At 42.8% G+C, this 20,499-nt stretch overlaps 2 long non-coding RNA genes across 2 annotated transcripts; both read right to left on the minus strand.

Moving 5' to 3' along the window:
- Positions 1-357: 357 nt before the first annotated feature.
- On the minus strand, positions 358-8,087 carry LINC02571 (long intergenic non-protein coding RNA 2571). Its single transcript, NR_149115.1, has 4 exons — positions 7,922-8,087; positions 1,394-1,463; positions 665-745; positions 358-571 (listed from the first exon to the last, which is right to left on the minus strand). It is a non-coding gene; the product is annotated as a long intergenic non-protein coding RNA 2571 (long non-coding RNA).
- On the minus strand, positions 3,276-15,044 carry LOC112267902 (uncharacterized). Its single transcript, XR_926691.3, has 5 exons — positions 14,249-15,044; positions 13,787-13,876; positions 13,228-13,305; positions 8,209-8,304; positions 3,276-5,026 (listed from the first exon to the last, which is right to left on the minus strand). It is a non-coding gene; the product is annotated as an uncharacterized LOC112267902 (long non-coding RNA).
- Between the last annotated feature and the right edge of the window lie 5,455 nt (positions 15,045-20,499).

Below are 20,499 nucleotides of genomic sequence, written 5' to 3' on the forward strand. Positions count from 1 at the left end.
GTGCTCTCTCAACTGGATGCAATGGAATGCCAGGGAGGAAAGTTTAAGATAAACTCTAGTCACCACGGAATTGTGATTTTTAAGCATAGTAAGCATAGTCTGAAATACCACATTCTTTCCAACCCCTCTCTGCACCCAATACGTCATTAGCCCTGTATTTTATACTCACTGTCATAAAAGAACCTGTTGGGGAAGGGGAGGTAGCTTTAGGTCAGTCTTGGTACAATCATACAGTGGCTAAATTAGTAGATCTAGTGTAAAATGGCCTGGAACTGAATTCTAGCCTCATATCTTCAAAATTATGGAACTTTGGGCAAGTAACTTAACATCTCTGTACCTAATTTTCTTGAACAAGTTACAGTTTACAGATTTCATTTATTTATTGTGGATAATAACATCCTTCTCATATGGTTGTGATAAATATTGAACAAAATAATCCATGTAGGTACAAAAACCAGTGCCTGAAATATAGCAAGAGCCTTTTAAATGCAGCCATTATTGTTATTATGGTTATTCTTATTGTCGTTTTTCACAGAATACCTTCTGGTTCCCACACAGGATCTCTGAGGACCTGTTGGATCAGCAGCTCTTTTGTAAGATTCGTTGATATTGTGAAAATTCTCTAATCACAGCCCAGCTACAATTTTACAGAAGTTCCCAATACCTTATCTGAAGGTTTCTTACAGTCAGATTATGAGTCTTGGTTGAAGGCATCTTCTGGAGTCATGGTAACACTCCGGGTATTCTGGGAAAACAGTGATTTCAAAATACAGTTTGTCTTGTTGAGACTAGGAATTTGGAAAATTCCAGTCTGTGAAGTGAAGGGAGAGGAGATACTTCCTTAGCAGGAGGAAGAGAATGTACCAAGTACAGGGCAGTTAAAGAAATGTTTGTTTGATTTTTTTGCCAGTGGTTATATCTGTGGTTTCATTAGTTAAATGCCTTATGTGGTACATTCTTCCCAATAAGTATTTTTAAAAGCCTCTGAAAGGAAGGAGCTCTTGCTACCACCATCCTCTCAGTCAAGTGGGAATAATCTGGTGAGCATAGCAGATGCCAATCAGTTCATAAAAAGCTCAATCTTCAAGTTTGCAGAATTAATTCTAAAAACGAGAAGAGTATTGGACATAGAATTTGACATATATGTTGCATGCAGAAGCTGATATTTTAGCTTTATAGTTTACAGGTCCCTCAGAATGTTTTATACTTTTTTATCATAACTGGGAAGCTGTCACTTTAATCTTTGAGTAGGACTAAGGTATGAAAAGAGCAATGATGGTGTGCTCAATGGCTATATTACTAAACACAAGAATGTTTTCAGCTCGATCTACCTGAGCTACATGGAGATTTGATAACTAAATATAAAGTGAATGGAGATAAATGCCTTACTTACCTTCTGCAGATGACACCTTCTAGTTAGCAAGTGGCAGATCCAGGACTACTGGGCTAGGAAGCTGCTTGGGCTGGAGTACAAGGGCAGTTTCAGGGATAGAGAAATTAACAGGCAGAGAGGGAATCTCTGAGACTAGGAAAGACTAACTGCAGCTGGGCCTAGATGATCTGAGATCCAAATGTAGCTGTTGATCTTAAATTATGCAAAGTAGCAATGGAACTGTCAGTCAGTCAGCATGTCTAGCTAGTCAGACAGATCAGGAGTTTAATCACTGACGTTATGGGAAATCAGAAAACTCTGGGATGGCTGGGAGAATATGTGCATATAGACATCTGTAGAGTGGGTGACAAATAAATGAAACCACCTAAATATTTACCCCAGGGGAGTAGGTGCATATAACATACTATGGAACAGCATTAAAATGATGAGTTAAACCATTTTTTCTGTGAAATTCAAAGGATGTTCATGATATAATAGAAATAAAAATATCAAATGGTAGGGCACTGTGAATACAATGTAATTTTTCAAAAGCTACAATGAGCAATAAGATGAAATAAAAGTCATCTAGATTAAAAAGCAAGAGGTAAAACTATCTCAATTGCAGATGATAAAATCTTATATAGAAATACGAAAGAATTCACTAAAAACAAGCTTAGCAACTACTAAACCACTAATACTAAATTAGTTTAGCACATTGGTAGGCTACAAGATCAAAATACAAAAATTGAGTGTGCTTCTATAGAGTATCAATGCATTAATACAAATGTTATTTAAAAATCCAACTTACAATAGCATTAAAAACAATGAAGTCAGAAGAAAATTGAGGGCCCAGCAATACTCTTCACTTATATGGTTAATTGGTTTTATAAAACAGTGCTAATATAATTCAGTGAGGGGAAGAAATTATCTTTTCATCAAACAGTGCAGAAACAACAGGCTATCCCTATGCAAAAGAATAAAGCTGGATCCCTACTTCACACCACATATAAAAATTACCTCAGTGTATCAAAGACCTAAATGTGAGACTTAATATTAGAGAACTCTTAGAAGAAAACATAAGCATAAATCTTCATGACTTTGGATTAGGTAAAAATACCTGATCTTAAATGATACCAAAGGCACAAGCAAAAAGAGGAAATAAAAGATAAATTGAACATCATCAAAATTAAAAATGTGTGAGTCTAAGGACACCATCAAGAAAGTGAAAAGAAACTCATTGAATGGGAGAAAAGTTTTGCAAATCTTATATCTGGCAAGGAAAGGACTTGTATCTAGAATATATAAAGAATGGTTGTAACTCAATATAATAATATTAATAATAAGATAATAATAAACAATAAATAATAATAATAATAAGACAAATAATATACAAAAGGCCCATAAGCACATAGAAACATGTTCAACATCATTAAGCATCAGGGAAATGCACATCAACCCAAAAATGAGATACTATTTCCCACCCACTAGAATGGCTATAATTAAAAAGATAATAATTAGTGTTGATGAGAATGTGGAGATACTAGAATACTCACACTTTGCTGGTGGGGATTTAAGAGACATAGCCCCTTTAGAAAGCAGGCTAGCAGTAGCTCAAATTTGTGAACATTAAGTTATTACATGACCCAGCAATCCCCTCCTATGATACAGTATACCCAAGAGAAATGAAAACATGAGTTCACATAAAAACCTATATGCCATGTTTATAGCAGCATTATTAATCACAATCCAAATGAGAAGGACAAAAATGTCACCAACTAATAAATAAATTGTGATATATCCATACAATGGAATGTAATTCAGCGATGAAAAAGATGTGAAGTACTGATACAAGCTACGACCCACACAAACTTTGAAAATGTTCCGGTAAGTAAAAGAAGACAGACACAAAAAGCCACATGTTGTATAATTTCATTACATAAAATGTTCAGAATAGGTAAATCTGTAGAGTTAAAACATAGGTTGGTAGTTTCTTAGGGCTGGGGTTTGGATATGGATTTTTCTGCAGGGCTGGGAGGAGATAAAAGGATCTGTAATTGATTGTGGTAATGGAGGCACAACTGTGAATATTCTAAAAGCCACTGAATTGTATATTTTGAATGTGCGGATTTTATACTATTTAAATTATATCTCAAGTTGCCCTGAAAATGATTAAATTACATATAAAACTTATAGTCATTACAGCTCAACAAAAGCTACCAGATAAAAACACTCACTATGGTTTGCGTGCAAGTGAAGAAAGTAGACATGCAGAGAGTAGGCTGATACAATAGTAATCACCTTAGTTAAGTGGGTTTGGATTTAGTGAAAGGAGAGATTTAAAAGTATATTTATGCATATTTTGATTGTTTCATTTCCTACTGTGAGCAAGAATTATTTTTACACTAAAATTTAAAAAATAGAAAGTTACAAATCTTCAAAGCTCTGCAGTCAAATAAACATAGTAACAAGTGATAATGAGCTGTCTGGAATGTCTTCCTAGAGAACTGGCTGAAGCACATGCATGCAAAAGGAAGGCAATGGCTGAAGAATCAAGGCAGAACTACAGTGGTAGAAGAGAAGAAAAATGTAAACATGGAGATATAAGACAAGAAGATGACTGATGAAGGAAGTGGACATGAATACTGTGAAAACCTCTTGGGGAGTCAGAAATGACCGGGTCTACGTGGGAGGGAAACTGGATTACAGCCCAAGATGGCCAGCCATCAGGGACAGTGTCCCGAATCAGATTCTGTCCCGAATCAGAAGGGCTGTCTAATCATTCCCTTTCTTTTCCTTCCAACACCCCAGCAAGATTATTGCCTAATTTACAGCCATGCACGTTGAAGAATCAGTACAATTTGGAGACTTTGAGACAACAGACAGAAAATTTTTGAGCTCCTCTGGGCATTAGTGAGCTGTTTTCAGAAAAACAGACTCACTCTGGTATTTCAGGAATAAATAGAAATAAGAGCATACACTAATGTTTGGAAACCACGGGTAGCAAATATTGGTGAAGTCATGTGACAGGCAGAATAACAGTCTCCTAAATATGTCTGTGTCCTAATCCCTGGAACTTATAAAAATGTCTCCTAATAGGGCAAAAGGAAATTTTCAGATGTGATTAAGCTGAGGCTCTTGAGATGGGAAGATTATCCTGGATTATCTGGGCAGGTTCGATGTAATCACAATAGTCCTTATAAGTGAAAGGAGTAGAAAGCAGCATCAGAGTTAGAGCTGTGACAACAGAATCAGAGGTCAAAGTGATGTGACTGCTGACTTGGAAGATGGAGGAAGAGACCACAAGCCAAAGAATGCAGGCAGCCCCAAGAAGCTGGAAAGGGTGAGGAAACAGATTTTCCTTTAGAGCCTCAGAAGAAATGCAGCTCTGACGACATGTTAATTTTAGCCCATAGTGACACATTTTTGACTTCTTACCTCCAGAACTATAAGAGAATACATTGGTGTTGTTTTAAGCCACATAGTTGTGGTAATTTGTTATAGCAGCAGCAGGATACTATAATAATACCAGTCACCATTGGAGCTCCTGGAAGCTGCAGTAGGGAGGTCAGGGAAGCATATACTGAAGACTTCAGCTTGAAGCATGGATGGGAGGTTCTCAGAATCCTGCTGCGAGATTGCTATATTCTCCAGAACCTATGAGAAAGCTCTTATCACTCATCTTAGTCCACACAAGCAAAGCAGGTGGGTCTCTAGCCTAGCAGGGAAGCCACTGAGAACCTGACATCTGCCTGCTCCTCTACCTGCAGCCACCACTGATGGGTACAGGTCTGTCCCACCATCTCTCCAGGGCCCCATTTCTTAGGCAAGTCTCTCTCACTGGAAAATGTAAACTGGAACTATACAGGGAAGGGGATCCTGGGAGATATAGTGCCTGGCTTCTCCTCTGCAGAGAAGATGCTAGAGGGGAGATGAGGTGATACTGGGTTTTTAACAATGCAACACATGAGTTACTAACAGTGAATGAAGGGGGACTGGCTGACCTCAGTTTGACAAGCAAATGTGCCATTAGATGATGCAAACCATTGGTATATCTATGAGATTTAGTAGTTTTAGCAAGCTATTTATTGGAGCAAGGATGTATCAAAAACTATGAAAAGTGCAGGTTTAAAAAATGTACAAAAAATTTAATGGACTACACAAATGAAATAAATTCTTTTTTTAATTATACTTTTAAGTTCTGGGATATATGTGCAGAATGTACAGGTTGGTTATATAGGTACACATGTGCCATTGTGGTTTGCTGCATCCATCAACCCGTCATCTAGGTTTTAAGCCCCGCATGCATTAGGTATTTCTCCTAATGGTATCCCTCCCCTTGCCCCCATCCCCTGACAGACCCCAGTATGTGATGTTTCCCTCCTTGTGTCCACATGTTCTCATTGTTCAACTCCTGCTTATAAGTGAGAACATGCGGTGTTTGGTTTTCTGTTTCTGTGTTAGTTTGCTAAGAATGATTGTTTCCAGCTTCATCCATGTCTCTGCAAAGCACATGAACTCATTCTTTTTTATGGCTGCATAACATTCCATGGTGTATATGTGCCACATTTTCTTTATCCAGTCTATCATTGATGGGCATTTGGATTGGTTCCAAGTCTTTGCTATTGCAAATAGTGCTGCAGTGAACATATGTGTGCATGTGTCTTTATAGTAGAATGATTTATAATCCTTTGGGTATATGCCCAGTAATGGGATAAATAAATTATTAACTATGCTGCTATTTTATTTATTTAAAAATGTGAGTTCGTGGTCTGAGTAATTTACCTCAGTATGACTCAAGAAGGGCACTGGAAGTCCGTTGATCTGGCCAGAACAGAACCACATATATGAATGGAAAAAGTGGTCTTGTGTCTGCCAATCCCAGGGGCTTACAGGATGCTGTCTAGAATAGGCTGGCTACAGCAACTCCTAGTTAAGCCAGAAGTTTGGAATGAGTTCAATTTTGGGGGATTAAATTCTAATGAGAGGCAGAAAACAGGAAAGTTTATGCTTTTCCATGCTAATCAATGGCCCCATAAACATTTTCTTGTATATATTTTTGTAATTTCAAAAAACTCAAGTGTTTTATCAGTAATTTCTTAGAGGTGCACACAGAGAGAGATGAGTATAATTGTGAAGCTAAGTTTTGTAAAGCACAGGGATGGCTAAGAATGGGAAGGAACTGATCCCAGAATCCCACAGAGTTAACCAGTAACCCTCAGCCCAAGTACGTGATGACCACTGTTGAGCTTCAAAGGAAAAGCGGCCATCTGAGGAGCAAACAGAATTGCATGAAGAATAAGAGTGCAGACGGTGTCCTAAATACAGTGCTGAGATTCATGTAGAAGCACAGGAGGAAGCAACTGTGTAAGTATCCAGAGTCCTATGAAGTAGGGATTTCAATCCTCCAAGCCACCCTCTCCCATCTGCTAACAAGGATCAAGGCTTTTGTGGATGTAACTGGCTGTGGTTGATGGGAACCCCTGTGATCCCTATGGGGTTACACATAGCTTCGGAGAGGGGAATGAACACACACACAGCAAAGGGAAACCATCTGGGCCTTTACTGAAACCACTGGCTGACCCCTGGGTTAAAGTATGTATGTTCTGAGTACTGATGTTAATTACATACAGACATTGCTCAGACCCCATGTCACCTCACACTGCTGGAAATTTGCCTTGACCTCGACTCTCACCAATGACCTTATGGGTAGTTTCTATGACCAGCTGACTTAAGAGGAAAATTCTGAGCTTCTTCATAAACATGCCAGCTTAGTGTGTTGGTGTGAGGCAGCAGTAGAGTGTGTCTGCAGTGTGGGCAACTCAGGAATGAGCAGAGACAGTGCTGAAGAGGGTCCTGCCAATAGGCAGGTGGGGCTCTGATTTGCCCACTTTGTGTAGACAGAAGTGGCCTGAGGTGAGAACATGCACAGACTCATAGGCAACGGCAAATGGCTTAAATAGCGGGTCCGGGGCCTGGAAGGAGCAAGATAGGAAGATCAGGAACAGGAATATCTGGAAAGAGGCATACAGTAGATACAAAGTGCTTGGATCTTTTGTATCAGATGTTAATACTCAGCAAAAATTACCCTCTATACAAGTAGTCTAAACAACCAGGTGTACAGGATGAATCATTTGGTACACATCAGCCAGCCTCTGTCCTTAACCATCCCAGTGCTCATGAAACAGGCTCTTGAAAGCAGTATCTATGGTGGAAGAGATGCACTGTGGGTGGGTCCCAAGGCTTGGGCTCCCTTCAGCATGGCTGACGTGGTTATTGTCACAACCTACCTTCCAACGATAAATAAACTCCAACAGATTACCTTTGCTTATGGAGGCCAATGAGCAATTTGATGGCAAATTGATTCTACTCTTACTTTTTCACAATGAAAAAGGCAGGGGTTCTGTCAGATTTAGCTTGCCTTGTATTAGCGGTATGAGTTTGTTCTTTCTTCCCATAGTGCCACACTCAGAAACGTTATCTAAGGGCTCACATATGTATGATCTTCTAATAGGGGAACCACATAACATTGCCCCAGACTAAGGGACCTACTTTATAGCGAACGCTGTCTGGTAGTGGGCACACGACCATGAGATCTCCTGGTTCTACCCCATACTGCATCACACACGCTGCCAGCTGATAGAGCAGTGGAATGGTCTCTTGAGGGTGCAGCTGGGTTTTATCTTGAAGATCACATCCTATCAGGATGGGTAATGTCCTTCAGGATGAAGCATACACTTAGGCTATGGCAGCAGCTGTTACATAGTGCCAAGTCTCCAACAGGTAGAGTAAGTAAGTCTCTAACCACCAGTGCTGGAAGAAGGAATGACTATACTCACCAGCACTTCCGGTAACCCGCGTGGGGTGTTGGTGCTTCCCATCCCCTCAACGTACTCAGCTGGTCTAGGAGTTTGGGATCCCAGAGAAGGAAGTTCCTACCATGGAACAGAGTACAAGTTACATTACGTTTAGGGGTATGTTTGTTACCTGTTCAATTTGGGTTCCTCATGCTAGGAGGCTGTTGGGAAAAGGAGGGGTTACTGTATAAGCAGGGATAATTGATCGTGATTATTATGAGGAGCAGAACTTTAATTTCTGTCTTAATTTCTTGCTGAAACTGGTAACAGTGGTTGCATCCAGGCAAGGAATTTGGAAGAATTGTGGATGGGGTGGAGAACGAAATTTGCTTTGCACACTATACACATTTTTATTATTATAATCTTTTAAATATTGTTCTTGTATTAGCTATTCAAAATAAATTTTAAATTACAAATCAACCCCACATTTATCTAAAAAATTTTTTTATTTCAATAGTTTTTGGGGGACAGGTAGTTTTTGGTTATGTGTGTGAGTTCTTTAGTAGTGAATTCTGAGATTTTGGTGCACCATCACCCGAGCAGTGTACTCTGTACCCAGTGTTGCCTTTTATCCCTCACCCTATTCCCAACCTCCACCAACAAGCCCCTAGAGTCCATTATGTCATTTTGTATGTTTTTGTGTCCTCATAGCTTAGCTCTCATTTATAAGTGAGAACATTCAGTATTTGGTTTTTCCATTCCTGAGTTACTCCACTTAGGATAATGGCCTCCAGCTCCATCCAAGTTGCTACATAAGGCATTATTTCATTCCTTTTTATGGCTGAGTAGTAATCCATGGTGTACATACACCACACTTTCTTTAGCCACTGGTTGGTCAATGAGCACTTAGGCTGGTTCCACATCCCTGCAATTATGAATTGTGTTGCTATAAACATGCGTGTGCATGTGTCTTTTTCATATAATGACTTATTTTCCTTTGGGTAGATACCCAGTAGTGGGATTGCTGGATCAAATGATAGATCTAGTTTTAGTTCTTTAAGGAATCTCCATACTGTTTTCCATAGTAGTTGTACTAATTTACATTCTCACAACCAGCAGTGTAATCCATCCATGCCAACATCTATTGTTTTTTGACTTTTTAATTAATGCCATTTTTTTTTTTTTGAGACAGAATCTCACTCTGTCTCCCAGGCTGGAGTGCAGTGGTATGATCTTGGTTCCCTGCAACCTCCACCTCCCAGGTTCCAGCAATTCTCCTGCCTCAGCCTCCCGAGTAGCTGGGACTACAGGTGCATGCCACCACGCCCAGATAATTTTTTGTATTTCTGGTAGAGACAGGGTTTCACCGTGTTAGCCAGGATGGTTTCGATCTCCTGATCTCGTGATCTGCCTGCTTTGGCCTCCCAAAGTGCTGGGATTACAGACTTGAGCCACCGCGCCCAGCCAAATTAATGCCATTCTTGCATGTATAACGTGGTATCTCATGGTGAACCCCACATTTATTTAGCAAACATTTATTAGGCAGTTACTATGTGTCAGGGTCTCCTAGGCCTCAATGAGTGAAACATCAAAGATTCCACAAGGGGACTAAAAAAACAGCTAAATGCAGGCTACTATAATTAGTGCGGGAAAACTGCTTCCAAGAGGATGCAATGTCTAAACAGAGAACTGGATGAGGAACACAGTTAATCCAGGTGAATGGCAGGAGAAATCTTTTAGGGAATCAGTATCACAAACAAAGGCTCAGAAGAAAGAACACACAGGGAGTCTGGGGGAACTGTCAGCAGTTCAGGGTAGAGATTAGAGAAAGAGGAGCACAGGGGCAAAAAGCAAGCTTGGAGCAGTGAGCAGATTCAATGACTAAGGCTTGTGGGGTTGGGGAGAACCTTTGGCTTTTATCCGAGGACAATGTGCAGCACTGGCAGCACTGAAGTCAGGAAGAACCTTGATCAGATCTGCATTCCAGAATATCACTTTGGTGAAGTGTGAAGAATGAACTGAGAGATGCTAGACTGAATACATGGAGAAGAAGAGGTTCGGGGAAACCCTGGCAGGAACTGTAGGGAGAATGTTAGGATGGAGGAAAAGGTAGAAAGGACCCTGAGAGATCTGAGTAATCAAGACCCAGTGTTTCACACATGGAAAATGAGGTGGAAAAGGAGAAAGGTCCCCATGTGAACAGCACTCCATCTGGAAAAATGACATAAAACAAGGGAATTTGGCCCATGACATAAGAGGTCCTTGGGCTCACATGGTATTGAGTGATCAGGGAGGAGTTTAGTTGAGTTCACCTCTACAGACAGGTATTGAGTGCCAGGTATGCTGTCATCAGGGTCATAAGGAAATCAAAGGTATCTGCCTCATATCTTTGTGACTTACATGTCTGATCCTGCTTAAGAACTATGCCAATCCCCGACTTTCCAGGACCCCCAGTAATTTTGTCGTGTCCATGTGGGAAGTGAGCTGAGGCTTGGCAAGAGGATCTTAGCCCATATGGTCCAAAAAATAGTAGAAATATTTCTTTAGAAGACACAAATTCCCTAATTAAATGGACTAATTTATCCATACAAGAGAAATAAAATCACTAAAAAATAAACTGAGTGAAGGAAAAGAAATCAATAAAGTGTAATTACCAGAAGTTCGTGGGATTCTGCATGAAAACAAGCTTGAAGAAATAGTGAAAGCAGAAGATTTGCCTAACAGTATGACACTCGAATGAAAAAAAAACCAGATAGGTTTAGTGGTGCTGCTTCTTTACAGATGCAGGAGGTTTGAAAAGTAATAGAGAAAAACATTTGGAGAGAACGCCATCTTAGCTTTCACACAGAATGCAAGACCAGCCTTTCCAGTGGGCGTCTCTTGATTTTTGTTTCCAGGGATTCGATTTCATAAACACAGCTCAGCTCTGCAGATCATCTGGCCCAGTCCAGGACCCGGGTTTGTAATGATCTTGTTCAGTCATGGTCCAGCCTGTGTATAGAGACCCTAAGATGATGCCCGGTGATCCTGTCTCTTGGCATCTCATCCAGCTGAGAACCGATGGGGCCTAAACTTGCTTCTAACCAATAGAAAGTGACAAAAATGATGTCACTTCCGTGATGAGGTCATATTACAGCCGCACTTCTGTATTACTAGATGACTCTGTCTTCTACCTTCTTTGTTTGCAAGTTTTGATGAAGCAGAAAGGCCCATGTGGCAAGGAACTGAAGTCAGCCTCTGGCCACCAGCCAGTAAGGAACTGAGGCTGTCAGTCTAACAGGCATGGAGGAATGAATCCTGCCAACAATTGCTTGAGCTTGGAAGTGGATCCTTCCCCAGTTCAGCCTCCAGATAAGACCCAGCCATGGCACTCTGATGAAAATCATGTGAGAAAGCTGCATAGCTGTGTCTGGATTCCTGACCCATAGAAATGTGGGATAATACATGTGTGTTGTTGTAAGCTGCTAAGTTTGTGGCAATTTCTTACATAGCAATGGATAGCTGAAAACACCTCCCACAGCTTTCACTGAGTTAAGCGACCCTTGGGGCCAGTTAGAACTTATCTCATCCCCTTCCCTGTGGCAGCCCTTATCTTTCTCATAGGTTGACATCCCACTTTCTCTTTACCAGTGTGAATGTCAAGTTCTCTTACTATCTCCGTCACTCTCCTCTCACACCATCCAGGAGGCCCCACTAGGGAGTGGCAGGCAGAGAGGAGGAAGTGTGGGGTGTGGGTAGACTCCTCCTCATGGTTCAACCTTGAGTGCAGGTATTACCAGTTGGAAGAAGAGAGGTCAGGAACCAGTAGGGATTGGATGGAGATGAGTGAACACCCCACCACTCTCAGGCCCATGCAGGCTGTGAAATAAAACCGTGATGAATAGACTCTGCATGGCCCCTGCTGGTCTTTACCCTTCAGCATTCTAGATAGTGCACCTCATATGCCATGATGCAAACACCATTGACTCCCTCCAGGGCAGATATAAATCTCCCTTTCCCCCGCATCCAGCAAGCACACTCCATCAGCCTATGGGTCACTTCAACCCCATGACTCCCCAGTCGGGACTGTGGCAAATGCAATAGACTTCAGTCCAGTCTCTGTGCCTGGAGAAGAAAGGGAAGCTGGTCAGAGCCCACAGGAGGAGGTGACCCACAGGGAGCCAGTAGTAGGTGGGTGTGAGGGTGAGTATGACAGAGCAGTTACTTGGGCTCAGCAGTCAGACTGTCTCCTTAGAGTCATGAGTCAGCCCATTGACAGTTACTAAACTTCCTAGTGACCTCAGTTTCCTTGTCTGTAAAATGGGGCTGATAGCTGTCTCTAGGTCATAGGGCTCTTGTGAGGTTTAAATGATTTAATTCATGTAAATCCCTTAGGAACGTGACTGACACTTTTTTTAAGGTACAATTCTGTAAAAGAGTGGGACCCATCCATTTAGGTCCTGTTTCCTTATTCCAGGTGTGATGAAACCAGCTCTCCCCAACACTTATCCTGACCCCCGTTCTATGCCTGCAGGTGGAGCGCTGTTCTGTCCCCTACAACCTATGGTGTGGGGGGCAACCAGGAAAAGGCCAGGGTGGTGCCAAGTATGAGGAAGTCACAGAGTAACACACACACATACACACATACATACCCATACCTGCTTATATACATAAATATGTACAGATACATACATATACGCACTTATAAACACGCACATACACATAGATGCCCATACCTGTTTATACATCCACATGTGCACAGACAGACACACACACATTACACAGTCCCAATTCCTTGATTCAGTTTGGGGCCTGGGTAATTCCAGTTCAATCTCTTTTAAGAAATTTAAGAATCTGAAAGAGAAAGACCTGAGAATTTTTGTCCCACAAGAGACAGACCCACTTCCTAGGCACTGTGGGACTTTCTGAGCCCCATGTGGCCCTGCTCCTGGAAGCTCATGGAGGAGCGGGAAAATCTGACTTAACATCAAGGTTCTGAAGTCCAGAGGCAGCCCTAGGAACTGGCCTTCCCTGGGTACCAGGCCTCCGGGAGTCCAGCAGGTCCCCTTCCTCCTATCTCACCTATGACGTCTCAGCCTGCCTTCCACAGCCAAGGGCCCCTCCCAGGCTTTGCTGCACAGCAGGAATCTCCACGGGGCTCTAGAAGGAACAGGGACAGAGTTTAACTTAACCCCCTCGGGTGATGCACCCTCAGGTCCAGTTTTTTGGTTCTAACATTGGTGATACCACTTTTCAGTCTTAAAATGTCTTTTTCGGCCAGGCGCGGTGGCTCACGCCTGTAATCCCAGCACTCTGGGAGGCCGAGGCGGGCGGATCATGAGGTCAGGAGATCGAGACCATCCTGGCTAACACAGTGAAACCCCGTCTCTACTAAAAATACAAAAAATTAGCCGGGCGTAGTGGCGGGCGCCTGTAGTCCCAGCTACTCGGGAGGCTGAGGCAGGAGAATGGCGTGAACCTGGGAGGCGGAGCTTGCAGTGAGCTGAGATCGCGCCACTGCACTCCAGCCTGGGTGACAGAGAGAGACTCCGTCTCAAAAAAAAAAAAAAAAAAAAAAAAAAAAAAAAAAAGTCTGTTTCTTTTCTGATTTGCAAAAAGGTTTATAACTTTTGATACTCACATCTGCTACTTTCTATTAGAACCTAGCAGTCCTTCGTGGTACTTTCATCTACTGTGTCTCTGCCGATTCCGTTTCCTGGTGTTTTATCTTCTGGTTGGGTTAAAGATTATATGTAATTGTTGGGCACAGAGGGCCAGGAAAGAAAAAGATTCCCGGTGAAGCTAGACCCAAGTACATCACTGTTGACAAGGGTAACTACTGTCCTTTCCTATTTACCTCCCTGCACTCCTTCTTCTCTGTCCTCCCTCCCCACCCACCCATGGGAGAGCCTCAGGAGCCTGGGCCAGAATCCCCAACCCCGCAGTAGGGAGGAGGAGGAGGAGGCGGCGACGGAGGAGGAGAAGGAGGAGGAGGAGGAGACGGAGACTGTTCGGTCTCCTCTTTCCTCAAATATGGATGCCTCCAAGGAACATAATTCCAGCTCCAAGAGGTCCTGACGTGGGGCCTGGAGGACCCCAGTACCTGCCGGCAGCATCATCTCCTTGCCATGCTCCAGGTGTCTGAGCAGCCACCTAGTGCAGTGACCCATCGGGGCTTCCCTTGTGGCCTCCGCGGTCCAGAACCTCTCCCAGGTGTGATGGATCCTCCAAGCCGCTCTTTGAGCCGCTGTCCAGGTCTGCAGGTCCTCGTTCAGGGACATGAAATCTCCTTGTCGTAGGCGGACTTAAAGTGTCCTTCGAGGAAGCTCCTGTCCGGAGCCACCACCCAGCCAGACAGCAGCATCTGCAGGTGCGGTGCCCTGGACCTGCCCCAGGGTGAGCCGGAGGCGGGGCCAGGGAGGGGAGGGAGGTCGCCCCGCCCACCCCAGCTCCTTCCTCCCTCTGTCATTGGTCACAGAACAAGTCAGTCATGATCCAGATTGAAGGAGAAACCTGGAGCAAAATGGCCCCAGCGCTTCCCCACCTGAGAGGGATCAGCTGAGGCCCCGCCCCCCCATCCCTGGGAGAACCGGGCTGGTCACTCTGGGGTCGGGGCGGGGCACACCTGTGCCCGGAGTCTGAGGTCACTCACCGGCTGACCCTGGTGGTGGTGCGGGCCCAGGAACCTCAGGCCCCTCAGTAACACATTCCCTGCGGTCTTCGAGAACTTTCCTCAGGGCGCCCACAGCCCTGTGCCATCTTCTCCACCCGCGCTTCACGCTCTGATTCTCGCCGCGGCTGTGGAAGCTCAGGAATCGCGTGTCGCCCACGAAGGCGCCGCGGAGGAACTCAGGGCCCACGTGGTGAAGGCGGAGCCCGGCGGCCTTCAAGTACCCGGGGTGCGGGCCTGGGCTCCGGGAACCCGCACATTGCGGGCGGGAGAGGCGCAGGGTGCCTGGGACGCCGCCCCGCTCGCCTCTCTCCTGGACGCCGTCGCCCTGCCTCCCCGCGGGGACACAGCCTCCCTCCCACGTCCCGCCCGGCACCGGAGCCGCTCACTTGGGAGCTTCTTACTGTGTGGGGGGAGCTGGGGAGGGGACAGAGGGACGGGAACCAGGGGAGGGTGGCTTGGGGCGGCGGCTCTGGGAGAAGTGACCTGAGGAGTCTGCAGATCCCAGCCCGGGACGGAGGCGCCGCGAGAGGAGCTACTAAGCCCTCCAAGCCGCCCTTTCCCTCTTGCCTCCCCAGCCCAGTTCATCCTGATCTTCTCACCAGCCCAGTTCTCCCTAAGGTCAGGGCCCACAAAGGAACAGGAAGGGGGTTCCGGGACACAGGATCCGGCTTCTCTGGGTATCTTGGAGTCCAGGAAGGATCCTGGAGATCTCCCACTTTATGAAGCTCATCCTCCACTGACTCTGATGGCTTCTCTAGAACCCGAGACCAACTGATAAAGGCGTCCCATCTGGACGCCCTTATCAGTCCTGGGGGAAAAACAAGAGCCAAGGGTGAGAGGTGGCCATGAGGTCAGGGAAACCCCTGCAGAATTCTCAGGAGAGGGAAATCTTCAGAGCTGTGGCTTTGGCTTAGTTTGTCTTCCCACCAGCCACCTGTCCTGGAGCTGGAGATGCTTAAGTTTAAACCAGAGACTTTGGATATTTTCCCTGAGTGACATAATCCTTGTCTTTCTCTCCTGGAATCGTGGGTCCAGACCATCACAGTGATCCAGTCGGCCCCCTCTCCTTCTTCTCTCACTCCAATCTCTCTCCCTGAGCTGGACTCTCCGCCCACCCTCACATTCTGGAAAAGTGCAGTGGTGTGAGCATGGCCCTGGGGCAGAATTGTCTGGGTGCAAACCCGGCTCCATCCCTACTTTTGTGTGATCTTCATTCCTATGGCATTAACTATGAAAGGGAAAAATAACAGGCACAAGCCATGGATGTGTAGTCAGAATAAAATGAATTGGCATTTTTAAAGTGCGAAGACCACTATTTGACACATAGCACAATAAAAGTGTAAAATGCTATCATTCTTGTCATTTCTTTAGGTCCTTTTTCTTGAGGTCTTCCTCTTCTCTTTGGGTTCCCATGAAAATTTACCCTGTTGGAAGTTGATGTCAGCAAGAGACCTCCTCTTGGGAAATGCTGGCTCAGTGTGGGGCCTCCCTTTTAGTAAAGGGAAAAACCGATGGTGGACCAGTAGCTAGTGAGTCAGAGTCCATTTTATTTAAACAAGATCACCTACCTAGAATTAACTCCATTTTGATAAGGACATGCATCTCACAGATAAGCCCAGTGTAATTTATGAGGAGATTGCTTTATTTGTGTAGAACTTACTCTAGTGCTTTTCATAGTCTTGCAACACATTTTGAATCCCTGGTTCTCATTTCACACTGACTGCCTCACAGAGTGAAGACGATGAGAAGTATCTTCATACTATATTCCCACGTTCGTCTATCGGAGTCACAGTCATATATTACATATGCAGATATTTTTCCTAGAAGTTTGAATTTATTGATATAGATTTTAATCTGGAATAGATAGATATTACCTAACATTTTTGTTTTTATTACCTCTAAGTTACACATGCTTAAGTAGTCACTACTGATACCTATGCATTTTCTCCCTTGGCATGTGACATTGACATAAAAATTGTACATTGTACTTTAGTTTTCAGCAATTATTAATTATGTAATTTGGATCATCCCTCCCATTGAGTACTACTGGACAAGTGGGAAAAGGGTACATATTTGAAAAATCTGATGGAAAGTATGAAGGGGCTAACCAAGCAGTAAAGATTTGCCAGGCCAGGAACCAGGAGAAGGCAGAAATCTAGAAGAGCAAGTTGAGCTGCAGGGTTGCTTTTGTCCTGGGTGATGTTGGCTGCTCTGGGCAGTGTCTGAGACCTTTGAGGGCTAGGTGGATAAAGCCTACATCTAAAGGCTGTGGGTGCATATGTGGCACTGTAAATCCCTGGGATAAGGATGGGTCCCAAAGGGCTGACCCATAAGAGCAACACAGTCAGTTCTCAGGAGTGGCAGCTCAATTTTTGTTTGAGTGGTCCAGCAGTTTTCACTGCTCTTATTAAAAATTTTAATTGAGGATCTTCCCAGTGTCATAAAGAAGAAAAGAAATACACTTAAAAAGGTTTGAAAAGAAGGCACAAAACTCTTATAATTTGCAAATGGTAATATGCTGAATGCAGAAAATACAAATGATTAGAACACTCTTGAAGTTAATAAGATGCATATATATATAAATATATATATATATATATATATATATATATATTTTTTTTTTTTTTTTTTTTTTGAGATGGAGTCTCGCTCTGTCGCCCAGGCTGGAGTGCAGTGGCGAGATCTCGGCTCACTGCAAGCTCCGCCTCCCAGATTTACTTAGGCCATTCTCCTGCCTCAGCCTCCCGAGTAGCTGGGATTACAGGCGCCCGCCACCATGCCCGGCTAATTTTTTGTATTTTTAGTAGAGATGGGGTTTCACCATGTTAGCCAGGATGGTCTTGATCTCCTGACCTCGTGATCCGGAAGTTAATAAGATATTTTTGCTTGGTAGGTAGAAGAAATTATAGAGCTGTTTTGCACAGATATAAAATGAAAATTTAAAAAAATTGATTCAGCAAAAGTGCGTACATATAAACTTCTAAAACTAAACCTAACAAATTCTGTACAAGATATCAATTGGGATATTTAAAAAACCCTACTGAGTAATAATAGAAGACAGTAATTAAAGAAGACAGTGAATTAACTGAATCAATTTACCAGGATCCTGGCTTGGATGGTTCAATATAATAATGACATTAATTTCCTACAGGACTCTTAAGAACTCAAACACATCTCAATCAAATGTTTATCAAGCATTTTTGCAACACATAGTAAGCCAATTTTAAGCCTTATATTGAAATATGAAAGAGAAAAAGTAGCTATGACACTCTAAATAAGAATAATAAGCAGAGAGAATTTCCTTAGCAGATATTAAGACTTATGTTAGAGTTATTTTAATTAAGAGAGTCGAGATGTTGAGACAGGGTAGTAAACTAGAACTTGGGAACAGAATAGAAAGCCCTGAACGTATGTAGAGCAGAGGCAACATTACAGATCAGTGGGTAAAGGAAAACGATTTAGAAAATAATTTAACAACAATTGGTTATCTATCTGGAAAAATGCAATTGTACTCATCTCTTGTAAAAAAATGTGATTGTACTCATCTCTTTACAGTAATATAGTAGAATATCTTCATTACTTTAGTGTAGGGAAAGATTTTTATGCAGGTTACAACAAAGTATTAACCCCAGGGTAATCTTTGACAGGATTAAAGACATTAAAGTTGAGCTCCCAGATTATTTGGGGTTTTCCATTCCCCAGTGGACAGCGATAAATGACTAAATGTTCCTCTGGGAAAGTCCTGTAAAAAGAATTTATCTCGGAGTGAATTATAGGGTCCTTTCTCAAGGGCACCAGCCTTCTGCTTATATGAGGGGCTCTGACATATCAGCTGGCTTTGGTGTAGCTACTGGATAAGAATTTCTGAATATCCAGGACTCAAGGTTGGTGACTGCTCAGCAGACCTAGCAGTTTTTATACCTGTATGTGTCACGTGGCACCTTAATACCTTGGTAAGGGGGGCATCCTCTCAGCCCTCCCGGGAGATGTGGTTAGGAGATGTTAAGTAGGTTGCACATAATGGATACATTCCCACTTTTCCGTCTCTCTGAGCTGTGTTCAGACACTTTCCTCTGCAGTATGCCTGTGATAGGGATTCTGTTGATATAGGCTAGTGGTTTTCACAAACTGTTGCATATAGCAAAATCTGGAGAGATGATTTGTTTTAATAAACTCAAGGCTCTAGCCTGTTAAATTAGAATAATATCTGGGCCTGTGTAGTTTTGCTACAATTCCCAGATGATTTTGATACATACCAAATATTGAGAACCACTGCTTTGAGCTACTAGTTTTTAACTTGGCTGTTGATTGGAGTCAAACCTGGAGAGTTTTAGGAACAATACTGTTTCCAGGATCCTACTTTTGATGAATTAGATTTCATTGGTTTTACATGTTGATCTAGACCTGGGGCTATTTAAAATCTCCCACGTGATGGAAAGCGCAGTCAAATTTGAGAAACACTGTGCTAGGCCACAGTTGAATTCGGGTTTTAATTAGCTAACCTGGCTGACTATTAACATCACTCTTAGGTGTTCAAAATAACACATTTAATCTAAGATACTGGGTGAAGATCCCATATTGATGAATCCAGGCCAATCACATCTCATTTCTCCCTATGTCAATACTGAAAGCTATGGGGAGAAATCCCTCCAACCAGTGCTCCTCATCACTCTCTCCGTGATGATGCTCCCATTTAGCCGATCCCAAATAAAAGCCAGAAAGCAAGGCTGCCTTTTGTGGTCCAGCAGGCCATGCAGCACAGTGTCCAGGACACGGAGCAGGGAGAGTACATGGAGCGTGGATCAGGAGTGCACAGAGAAGATACCAGCAGACCTGCCCTCTCCATTGCACTCAAAATCACACTGGATTTCCTAGCTAGTGCAATCAGGCAACAGAATATATCAACTACATGAATTAATAAAAGCTTTAAGCAAAGTCATTGAATTAAAACTATATAAAATTATTTATATTTATACATACCACAACCAACACTGAAATTCAACAAAGAAAGAGATACTGTGAACACTAGCACCATATTTCAAGATCTTTGGAATAAATCTACTAAAAGATGCACAAGTAAAACCAACAATACTTTATTTAAGAGTATTTAATAAGTAAACATTACATGTTCATGAATTATAAGTCTCAATGTGGCAAAATTTGTCAGTGCTCTCCAAATCTGATTACTGAATGAAATCTCTATTAAAAATAAAATTGTTAAAGGTACTTGGAAAGGTGCCTGTCAAGCTAGGAAAGTTGCCAATGATAGAAAAAACACTCCTGAAGTGAAAACTCAAAATTTATGGATTTACTTCATTGTATAGAGAGACATATTATAAAGCCGTGGATTATCTTGGGATGATGAAAATGTTCTAAAATTAAATATGCAGATTTAAAACTCTGAATATGTGAAAAACCATTGAATTGTATACTTTAGATGGGTGAGTAGTATGTGATTTATATCTCAATAAAGTTTAATGAGGAAAACATAATGAGATATTTTGAAAAATGCACTAGAATTTCTATATTAAAATTATTGAGTTTTCCAAACACTGATGAGAATACAGACCATCAAGATCTACCACACATTGCTTGCCACAGCCACTTTATCTAGCAGTGTGGCATCATCTCTTTGAGTGGGATATCATACACATATACCAGTAACTCCACTCCTAGGTGTA

Source organism: Homo sapiens, chromosome 6, assembly GCF_000001405.40.
Source record: "Homo sapiens chromosome 6, GRCh38.p14 Primary Assembly".
Classification (NCBI taxonomy): domain Eukaryota; kingdom Metazoa; phylum Chordata; class Mammalia; order Primates; family Hominidae; genus Homo; species Homo sapiens.